We start from the raw sequence: 10,004 nt of genomic DNA on the forward strand, positions 1-10,004 counted from the left end.
GGCTGGTCTCACACTCCTGGCCTCATGAGATCCTCCTGCCTCACTTCCCAAAGCTCTGGGATTACACGCATGAGCCACCACACCTGACCCATTTTTACATTTTAGACATTTGCACTGCTTTAGATGTTTCTATCAAAAAGAATGCTGCTACGATCATTTTAGTAAACATTTTCTTGTACATTTGTGATAATCTCCTTAAGCTGGATTTCCTAGAATGGAATTACTAAAGTAAGACAAATGAATACTTTTATGTTTTTTTAGTGCACATATGGTTTCTAAGATTTTCAATCTAAGAAATGGATACAAAGATGTGATGCAAATGTGTGCATTTTTATCAAATTATAAATAAATGTCAATGACTTAGATATTTTTCATAATTACAATTCCATCTTTGCTGATAAACTCGAGGGTAGGTATGTGTAGAGTCAGAGTATCAGGGTCTGCTTTCTGGCAGGGTGCTGTGGCCAGGGGTGTGTGAGTGTGTGTCAGAAGGGCTATGGAAAACAACCTTTGGAGCAGAGGTGTGTTGAGGCTGGTGGGCAGGTGTGCAGATGGAATTAGGGAACTACTGCCAGCAAGAAGCCTTCAGGCTGAATTGAGCACAGATGTGGCAGAGCACCACGGGATGCATCCCTCCCTCCCCACCAGCCCCTTATACTTTTGGCTGTTGGACTGTGCAGCAGGAGTAAGAAAATGAAAAATGCAGCACATGAGAACCAAGACAAGAAGCCCCTTCCTCCTATAATGTCCCTCTAGCATCCTATAGTGAGAAGTGTAACATTGTGCTCTCTGGAAGGGAGTCCACTCCATTATGGCAGAGCAGGTACTTAAGGCTGAATTTGGAGCTGAGAGGCAATAAATTGATAGCTAGCTGACATGAAGCCTAAAAGTTACTAACAATAGCTCATTTGAACCTCTTTGACCTACAGTAAAATTTACCTCTTTATATGATTGAATATTGAGAAATTGGGATGGTCATTGCATGTTATGGGACACTCTTGATCTGATAACCACAGACACAGTACACTCAAGAATTTGTAGACAAAGTCAGAAAACATCACTCCTGAAATGCGGGGCAAATGTCACATTTTTAAACTAACAAAAACCAACTTTAAATGCATAGAATTAACTACCTATGGAAATCTGAGAAAATAACACAGAAAGAAATGATTTGTAAGAATATTGGTCATAAAACTAGGGTGCTATCTAAATCTTAGCACAGACCTAAATTAGCTCCCTGGAAGGAAAGACAGTGACTTAAAATCACAATAATGGAAGATAAACTAATGGGAAGACTTGCAATACAAAAGTCAAGGATATACGTTTTTTCTTTTTATTTATTTTTTGTTCTTTCTTTGTGTTGGGGATATATGTTTTTTAAAGAGTATTAGATGGTAAGAATTCATCAGTATATTCCCCAAAACTTCTAAGATTCTGATTTTTTTTAACATAGCTAAAAAATTAGCTTGACAGTGGAAAAGAACAATTTATCTGGTTTCAAAACTTCTAAGGACATACATAATCCCTTCTTCTTGAATTTTGCTTTCATAGAGGATCTTTTAATACAGTTGTTGGCAAACTATTTCTGGAAAGGGACAGATGGTAAATAGCTTAGGCTTTTTGGGCCGTGAGGTCTCTGTCACTGTTACCCAACTCTGTCTTTATAGTGTAAACTCAGCCATAGATAATGTGTACATAAGCAGGCATGGCTATGTTCCAATAAAACTTTATTTACAAGATCAGGATGTGGCTAGATATCGCCTGTAGGTGATAGTTTGCTGACCCTTGTCTAACTTATCATTTGGCTTCCAGACTGGTCAGACTCACCAGGAAGGGGTGCCTTGGGAATATTAGACATGGGGCATGTCACTCTGTTTAATTCCTATCTTGTAGGCCTGGTCATAACAGTCAGTTCTCTGGGAGCTAATCAGTTCTGGATGAGCTAAAAAGAACTAGTAACTGAGTTCCTGACCTTGGAAAGCTGAGCTCTAAAGGGATCTAGCCTCGGCGTCTAGCCTGAGTAGCTAGCTGATATGTCTCATTCATTCATCATTCTTTTCCCCTTAATCTCTCTTCCTCTTTTTGTCATCTCTAAATGACAGCACCAATATACAGACTTCTACTTTTATTAATAGAATTTAATATGTACTACTCATCACAAACAGAGCTTGTTTAGGTTTAATAACTATGGTCTCTGTTTAAAATATTTGAATATAAGAATGAGAGAAAATATTCAGTTATAACAAGTAACTATCATGAAAACTTGTTACCTGCATTAAAAACACAAAACAATATTGTGAAAGATTATTTTGCTTCCTAATGAAATTATCATCAAAGAAGCCAGGAAACAGTTGGGAACGTTAAAAGGGAGATGCAATAAAATTATTCAGTAATTTTTTAGATTATATAATTAATGTTCTCTAATTGTCAAGAAACATAGTAATATTATAAACTATCTAGTGACAACTGACATAATACAAACCATATATAAGTTTGAATTTATGAACATGCTATTTTGCATGCGAGGTCCATGTCCCTGCCTTAACTTTAACCACCGTGCCTCATTCTTTTTTTTTCTGGAGATAGTGTCACTCTGTCGCCCAAGCTGGAGTGCAGTGGTGCGTTCTCGGCTCACTGTAACCTCCCCTTCCTGGGTTCAAGTGATTTTCATTTTGTATTTTTAGTAGAGATGGGGTCTTCTCATGTTGGCCAGGCTGGTCTCGAACTCCTGGCCTCAAGTGATCCACTCGCCTTGGCCTCCCAAAGTGCTGGGATTACAGGCGTGAGCCACATTGCCTGGCCACTACTCATTCTTGTTTCTCAAGCCCCTTGTTTTGGTTTCTCATTTCTGCTTCTATTCTTCATCAGGCCCCTTTAACAACTCAGTTTGACTCATTCTTATCTACTGACTGCTTCAGCTCCCTCTCACTGGGCTCCCAGTAGGTCTACCCACTGAGACAATAGATAAAAAGCATTTGTATCTCAAGTCAAGAACAAGGGAGCTGACTTCTGCTCAGCTTCCCAAGAGCTGGATTGGGTAAACACTTTCTGCTGCACATAATTTCTCTGAAGAGGCCTGAAAGCTAGATCTAAGTTCTTAGGGCTATAGTTTTCACTTTATTTTGGGCCCTTGCAATATCAAGGATAGTACCAAGGGGCGGCTTGGACTGCGGATGGTGGGGTAGTTTAGCTCATCCTAAATCTCCATTCAGGCTGGGCACAGTGGCTCACACCTATAATCCCAGCACTTTTCAAGGCCAAGGCAGGTGGATCGTTCAAGCCCAGGGGTTGGGGACAAGCCTGGGAAACACAGTGAAACCTCGTCTACACACACACACACAATCAGCCAGGCATGGTGGTGCGCGCCTGTAATCCTAGCTACTCAGGAAGCTGAGCTGGAAGGATCAATTAGGCCTGGGAGGTCAAGGCTGCAGTGAGCCATGATCACGCCACTGCACTCTAGCCTGGGTGACAGAATGAGACCCTGTCCCCCCACCAAAGAAAAACCTCACAAAATCTCCACTAGTCCCCTCCCCTCAGCCATTCTAAATAAATTATTCTTAGATGTCTACAACGGAATTTGCAGTAAATCTTTTTATGTCCTATTTGGATATGACAGTTTTGTTAAGGAATTAATAAAACAAAAGCTGGGCACAGTGGCTCACACCTGTAATCCTAGCTACTCAGGAAGCTGACGTGGGAGGACTGCTTGAGCCCAGGAGTTTGAGGTTGCAGTGAGCTATGACTGCACACTGCTTTCCAGCCTGGGAGACAGAGTGAGACCCTGTCTCAAAAAGAAAAAAAAGAAAGAGGATTATTAAGACATCTTATTTACCTATAACCTTTCAAATAATTATGTAAAATGTAACTTTGAACGATAACCCCAATCTGGGGAAAAGGGAAAAATTGTACTACAACACCAGTTTTGAGTTGCTTTTTTACCTTCAGGACAAAAATGAGAGTAAGGGACAGCTTTTGTTTGTTTGTTTGTTTTAAGAGATAGTTTTAAATTATTAAGTTATTTGCTGCTCTTATCAAACTTAGAATTATAAGCAACCTCAAAGATCATGTAGTTCAACCCATGCATTTGGAAAGTCCTGGCTAAATGACATAATTATTCAAGAATATGTGCTTGATTCTATATATCCAATGTCTTCTCCATAGGAAGTTATAGTTGGTCACCCCTGCCTTCTTGAATTTTTGTTTACACCATACACACTCTCCTGATTTTCCTCTTATCTTAGTCTTCTTTGCAGGATACTCCTCATCTTTCGCATCTGTATATATGAGATGCGTTCAGGGCTTAGTCCTTGATCCTCTTCTATTAATATCTATACTTACACTTTAGGTGATCTTAACTGGTCTCATGGTACTAAATATCATCTACATGCTGATAGCTCCCAGTTTGTATCTATTGCTCTGATCCTTCTACTGAACTGGATATCCAGCTGTTCACTCGATACCTTTATTTATCTAATAAATACCTGAATCTTAACATGTTCAACCTGAATTCCTGATTTTCTTCCATGTCCAGGACAATTCATGCTCATTCCATAATCTTTTCCATCTGATCCACTGCTCACCAGTTGCTCGGGACAAAATCCTTGCAGTCATCCTTGATATCTTCTGTCATGCACCCAGCCCATTAGCAAATGCTGGTTTTTTTTAATCTTCAATCGATTTCCCAAATCTGACCACTCTGACCACCTACACAAATCTAGCCTAATCAATTAACTTCCTGATTAGATCTCTGTTCTCTCTGCTCTTCATCTTGCCCTTCTCCCCTGGAGTACTCTTCCACATGCATCCAGAAAGTCTTTAACATAAGGCCTTGCACGATCAGGACCTTACTTGCTCTCCTGTGTCATTTTCTACCAACTCTCTTCATGCTGCTCCAGCCGCTCTCGTCTTTTCGATTTTTCCCACGCACCAAGTTCATTCTTGTGATGGGACCCCCGCACCTGCTGTTCTCTCCAGAATGCTTTTCTTGCATGGCTGGTTCCCTCACTTGTTAGGCTTCTGTTCACATGTCACTCACCCTCACAGGAGCCTTCCCCCAGCACTACCTTGATCTAAAATAAACCCCTGTCATCACTTTCTATCCCGTTTATCCTGCTTTATTTTTCTTTAGAGAATTTACTACTATCTGACATCGTATTACAAATGTATGTCTTCATTGTCTATCCACAAGGGCAGGAATTTTGTCTGTTTTTTCACTGTTAGAGCAATGCCTTGCACATCTTAAGTATTCAATAACTAGTGACTAAATACATGACCAAGTATTCAGCCCTTTGAGTAAGTGGCCTCCTCTACATACAGACAGAGGAAGATCATTCTGCTTAGAGGGCACTGAAAACCCTAAAGTGGTTTCCTTTTTTATGCAGATGATCCTAATTGCTTCTGAAGCACTCTTAAAAGAAACATGAGTCCGTTTTTGTTCTCATAGCACCTACACTTGCCATGTTCTCACTTTTGGTTGCATTGTTTTTATTTTCTTAATCTCTGATCTTGGTTATTAATAGGACAGTCAGCAAAGATTTTATCTGATCAATACAGCATAGGATACCCGTATGTTGGTAGAGTCAAAGAATGCTGTAGACCTAAATGTTACAGTGAATCCAGTTAAAATTCTACCAGTCTGGGCAACATGGCAAAACCCCATCTCTACAAAAAATACAAAAATTAGCCAGGCATGAGGCACATGCCTGTAGTCCCAGCTACTGGGAGGCTGAGGCCGGAGGATTGATTGAGCCCCGGAGGTCGAGGCTGCAGTAAGCTATGATCATGTCACTGCACTCCAGCCTGGGTGACTGATCAAGACTGTCAAAAAAAAAAAAAAAAAAAAGAGAGAGGGAGAGAAATGTAGGGGTGGGTTGCCCCTCCACACCTGTGGGTGTTTCTCGTAAGGTGGAACGAGAGACTTAAGAAAGAAAAAGACACAGAGACAATGTATAGAGAAAGAAATAAGGGGACCCGGGGAACCAGCGTTCAGCATTATGGAGGATCCCGCCAGCCTCTGAGTTCCCTTAGTATTTATTGATCATTCGTGGGTGTTTCTCCGAGAGGGGGATGTGTCAGGGTCACAAGACAATTGTCGGGAGAGGGTCAGCAGACAAACACGTGAACAAAGGTCTTTGCATCGTAGACAATGTAAAGGATTAAGTGCTGTGCTTTTAGATATGCATACACATAAACATCTCAATGCTTTACAAAGCAGTATTGCTGCCCGCAGTTCCCACCTCCAGCCCTAAGGCGGTTTTTCCCTATCTCAGTAGACGGAACATACAATCGGGTTTTATACCGAGACATTCCATTGCCCAGGGACAGGCAGGAGACAGATGCCTTCCTCTTGTCTCAACTGCAAGAGGCATGCCTTCCTCTTATACTAATCCTCCTCAGCACAGACCCTTTACGGGTGTCGGGCTGGGGTCTTTCCCTTCCCACGAGGCCATATTTCAGACTATCACATGGGGAGAAACCTTGGACAATACCTGGCTTTCCTAGGCAGAGGTCCCTGCGGCCTTCCGCAGTTTTTGTGTCCCTGGGTACTTGAGATTAGGGAGTGGTGATGACTCTCAAGGAGCGTGCTGCCTTCAAGCATCTGTTTAACAAAGCACATCTTGCACCGACCTTAATCCATTTAACTCTGAGTTGACACAGCACATGTTTCAGAGAGCACGGGGTTGGGGGTAAGGTTATAGATTAACAGAATCTCAAGGCAGAAGAATTTTTCTTAGTACAGAACAAAATGGAGTCTCCTATGTCTACTTCTTTCTACACAGACACAGTAACAATCTGATCTCTCTTGCTTTTCCCCACAGAGAAAGAAGAAAGGAAGAAAGAATAAAGAAAGAAAGAAGAAAATTTTAAGTTTATACCTTTTAAAAAAGGAAACTTAAAAATCAGTAAGTTTTAATTTTTAATAAGATAAATAATTTATTCTATCAAACATCACCAATGTCAGATCATTTCAACATTATTTCTAACTTTTCAAAGTACATAGCATAAACCATAAAAGTTGTCTAACTGAAATTAAATCTTCGTGAGAGATAGTTTTAATAGACTGGGTTTTTAGCAGTGAAGTTAAAGAATGATAGTTTAGTATACAGAAAGAAACAGTTATGGTGACACTTAGTTCTTCATGATGCACTGTAAGCACAAATTGGACATCACATGATAAGTAAAAAGGATGGTCCTTCTGGCAAATAAAAATTAAATAGGTCCTCACAGTGATATGCAGTCTCCAAACATGATCTGTCTAATTTCTCTCTCTCACCCAAAGTAAAAAGTTAAGTTGAAAGATTAAAACCTGCCTTCTTGTTACTATTTCACAAATACACCCAGATAGTACCAGATTAGTGACTAAAATCCAGATATTTTCCTTTTAGATAAATTAAGCCATATACATTGTAAAATACTTATTTTTTAAGAGAATCAATAAAGCTATATTTATTTTCAGTAGAAAATGTGGCTCATAGACACTTTATTTCTCTGAAATTGCCTCTCAAGAAAAAACTTGATCCTCACTATTGATCTAAGAGAAATCTGCATGAAGCAATGCTGTAGTTTATGCTTTTTTTTTTTTTTTTTTTTTTCTCAAAGGTGGTGGGTGACCTCTGGAGGCAACTGGAAAAAATATACTGCTGCTTTCAAGAGTGAAGTGGGGAATGAAGAATCAGAAAGTAGATCTTTCCATTTAGAGAAGGCTTTTTCTTTTTTTTTTTTTTACATTTAATCAGGGTGAATTAAAATATTTAATTTAAAAATGGCTTTACTGAACCTCAATTCAGTTAGGTAATTAATCAATTCAGTTAGGTAATAGCTACTAAGTATGTAATACAATGTTAGGGGAGAGACATATAACATCCATAGTTTCAATCTCATTGAGTTTATAATCTACTAAGGAACTGAAGATAAGTGCTAAAAGAACTGTAACACGAGGTAAAACCTGTGACAAGATTTAGGAGCAGCACAACTATATAGTTGTGAAACTAAACCAGCCTCAAGGCTGAAAGGCAGGTGAGAAAAGACTACCTACCAAAGTAGGTTTTGTTTGTTTGTTTGTTTGTTTGTTTGTTTTAACATGGATTCTCCAAAGATAGGTAGAAAAGTCCTGGTTTGGCGTCATTAGTCTACTTCAGCCCCTCTCTCACTGATTACGACTGAAAGACTCATGACAAAATACAAATGGCAACTACCTGCCGCCTCTGAAAAGTAAATAAAGAATTGAGGTAGGGAGTCAAAACTTAGAAACCTGCAAGGGGATGAATTTCCTGGCTTTTTTCTTCTTTTCTTGTGGTTTGTCCTGAGGAGAGACCCCAGCTGGGAACTGTTGGGTGGCATGGGTAGCTAAAACTCGAATAGAAATCTCATCTTTCTGTGCTGAAAGGAAATAACGGTTAGCCCAGAACTCTATTTTCAGTGAAAATATTTTCAGGAATCAAAGTGAAATAAAGACATTCTCATATGAAGGAATGCCAGCTGACCTGCTCTAAAATAAATGCTTGGCGGGCCGGGCGCGGTGGCCCACGCCTGTAATCCCAGCACTTTGGGAGGCCGAGGCGGTCGGATCATGAGGTCAGGAGTTCGAGACCAGCCTGACCAACATGGTGAAACCCCGTCTCTACTAAATAAAAAAATTAGCCGTGCGTGGTGGCACGCGCCTGTAATCCCGGCTACTCAGGAGGCTGACGCAGGAGAATCGCTTGAACCTAGGAGGCAGAGGTTGCAGTGAGCCGAGATCGCACCATTGCACTCCAGCCTGGGCGACAGAGCGAGATTCCGTCTCAAATAAATAAATAAATAAATAAATAAATAAATAAATAAATAAATAAAAAAGAAATGCTTGGCGGGGCATGGTGGCTCATACCTGTAATCTCAGCACTTTGGAAGGCCAAAGGCAGGCGAATCACTTGAGGTCAGGAGTTCGAGACCAGCCTGGCCGACATGGTGAAAACTCGTCTCTACCAAAAAGCGCCACAACACTCCAGCCCGGGCGACATAGGCTCTGTCTCAAAAAAGAAAACAAACAAACAAAAAAAAAAGTGGGGGTGCGGGTGGGGGGAAGACTTAATGACTAAACGAATAAGTCTGGAGAGACGGGTTGCAAGGGATGATGAGACTAAGGTTTGTAGTCTGGGAGCCTAAGTGGATGAAAGTTGGAAGAATCAGGTGGAAAAGAACATTTCAAATAGACCACAAAGAAAAGTATATAACATTTTGAGGCTGTGGTACGCTTTGTTAAAGAGCAAAAGGAAAACAATTCCTCAAATCAGGGGGGAGGGATAGCATTAGGAGATATACCTAATGTTAAATGACGAGTTAATGGGTGCAGCACACCAACATGGCACATGTATACATATGTAACTAACCTGCACGTTGTGCACATGTACCCTAAAACTTAAAGTATATAAAAAAAATTCCTCAAATCGATGCCACGCTCCACTTCTTTACAACGATGGAATTATTTCAGGAATTGGAATTATTTCAGGAATTGTGTTTGAAACCACAGCTTTGGATCCCGATTTCTTTCTTGAGCTACTGTTACACTGTTTATATACGGCCACTAATTCGATGACTGAGCTTGGGCAGATTGTTAATTATTTTCTATGACTTAATCTTTCTATCTGTACAACGGGGATAACGTGGAATTTGGAGTGTTGTGAGGGTTGAGATAATATACGTGATAACTTACACAATGACGTTCAACAAATACTTGTGGAGTGAAAGATGCGCGATTCATTGACAGATCTCAGGGATTTCAGAAAGCTGTATAAGGACCAGCTCTTCAGGCTCCCTTCGCTCCCCAGGAGACCGGGGAGCCGGCGCGAGGCGCTACAGTGTAATTCTTGGCCCCTTTTCCTCATAATGGTTTGGCCGCATTTTTACCTCTTGATTTCCCTGGTCCCAGGCTGCAACTTCAGCTCGCTCCGCCATGGGGCGCACGTCCGCCAGCCTCTGTGAGCTCAGCTAAGTATGATGCCTAGGCTAGAGAGCTACGTCCG

At 40.7% G+C, this 10,004-nt stretch overlaps 2 long non-coding RNA genes across 3 annotated transcripts in view, besides 7 other annotated features; one reads left to right on the forward strand and one right to left on the reverse strand.

Moving 5' to 3' along the window:
• Positions 1-9,977, reverse strand: part of SLC60A2-DT (SLC60A2 divergent transcript) — a 31,466-nt gene extending 21,489 nt beyond the window's left edge. The window contains exon 1 of one of the 2 annotated variants that reach the window (XR_001743807.2): positions 9,889-9,977. This is a non-coding gene — a long non-coding RNA (SLC60A2 divergent transcript). Of the gene's footprint in view, positions 1-9,694; positions 9,827-9,888 lie in introns of those variants that run through there. The other variant, XR_001743806.2, reaches the window with a different exon arrangement.
• Positions 3,143-3,343: a silencer, noted in NCBI's record as "fragment chr6:111573581-111573781 (GRCh37/hg19 assembly coordinates)". NCBI's record gives its function as "represses an EF-1alpha promoter that drives an FKBP-Casp9 reporter gene in an ReSE screen in HepG2 liver carcinoma cells {active_cell/tissue: HepG2}" and the evidence as "EXISTENCE:reporter gene assay evidence [ECO:0000049][PMID:32094911]".
• Positions 4,622-5,268: an enhancer, noted in NCBI's record as "OCT4-NANOG-H3K27ac hESC enhancer chr6:111575060-111575706 (GRCh37/hg19 assembly coordinates)". NCBI's record gives its function as "activates a minimal SCP1, AML or CMV promoter by ChIP-STARR-seq in naive and primed H9 embryonic stem cells {active_cell/tissue: H9 hESC(naive and primed)}" and the evidence as "EXISTENCE:reporter gene assay evidence [ECO:0000049][PMID:30033119]".
• Positions 5,269-5,916: an enhancer, noted in NCBI's record as "OCT4-NANOG-H3K27ac hESC enhancer chr6:111575707-111576354 (GRCh37/hg19 assembly coordinates)". NCBI's record gives its function as "activates a minimal SCP1, AML or CMV promoter by ChIP-STARR-seq in naive and primed H9 embryonic stem cells {active_cell/tissue: H9 hESC(naive and primed)}" and the evidence as "EXISTENCE:reporter gene assay evidence [ECO:0000049][PMID:30033119]".
• Positions 5,917-6,563: an enhancer, noted in NCBI's record as "OCT4-NANOG-H3K27ac hESC enhancer chr6:111576355-111577001 (GRCh37/hg19 assembly coordinates)". NCBI's record gives its function as "activates a minimal SCP1, AML or CMV promoter by ChIP-STARR-seq in naive H9 embryonic stem cells {active_cell/tissue: H9 hESC(naive)}" and the evidence as "EXISTENCE:reporter gene assay evidence [ECO:0000049][PMID:30033119]".
• Positions 5,931-6,225: an enhancer, noted in NCBI's record as "tiled region #9088; K562 Activating non-DNase unmatched - State 23:Low". NCBI's record gives its function as "activates a minimal TATA promoter and a strong SV40 promoter by Sharpr-MPRA in K562 cells {active_cell/tissue: K562}" and the evidence as "EXISTENCE:reporter gene assay evidence [ECO:0000049][PMID:27701403]".
• Positions 6,564-7,210: an enhancer, noted in NCBI's record as "OCT4-NANOG-H3K27ac hESC enhancer chr6:111577002-111577648 (GRCh37/hg19 assembly coordinates)". NCBI's record gives its function as "activates a minimal SCP1, AML or CMV promoter by ChIP-STARR-seq in naive H9 embryonic stem cells {active_cell/tissue: H9 hESC(naive)}" and the evidence as "EXISTENCE:reporter gene assay evidence [ECO:0000049][PMID:30033119]".
• On the forward strand, positions 6,867-8,475 carry LOC124901378 (uncharacterized). Its single transcript, XR_007059708.1, has 2 exons — positions 6,867-6,905; positions 7,603-8,475. It is a non-coding gene; the product is annotated as an uncharacterized LOC124901378 (long non-coding RNA).
• Positions 9,754-9,813: an enhancer, noted in NCBI's record as "active region_24941". NCBI's record gives its function as "activates an Ori minimal core promoter by ATAC-STARR-seq in GM12878 lymphoblastoid cells {active_cell/tissue: GM12878}" and the evidence as "EXISTENCE:reporter gene assay evidence [ECO:0000049][PMID:35858748]".
• Positions 9,978-10,004: the final 27 nt, after the last annotated feature.

Source organism: Homo sapiens, chromosome 6 (assembly GCF_000001405.40).
Source record: "Homo sapiens chromosome 6, GRCh38.p14 Primary Assembly".
Classification (NCBI taxonomy): domain Eukaryota; kingdom Metazoa; phylum Chordata; class Mammalia; order Primates; family Hominidae; genus Homo; species Homo sapiens.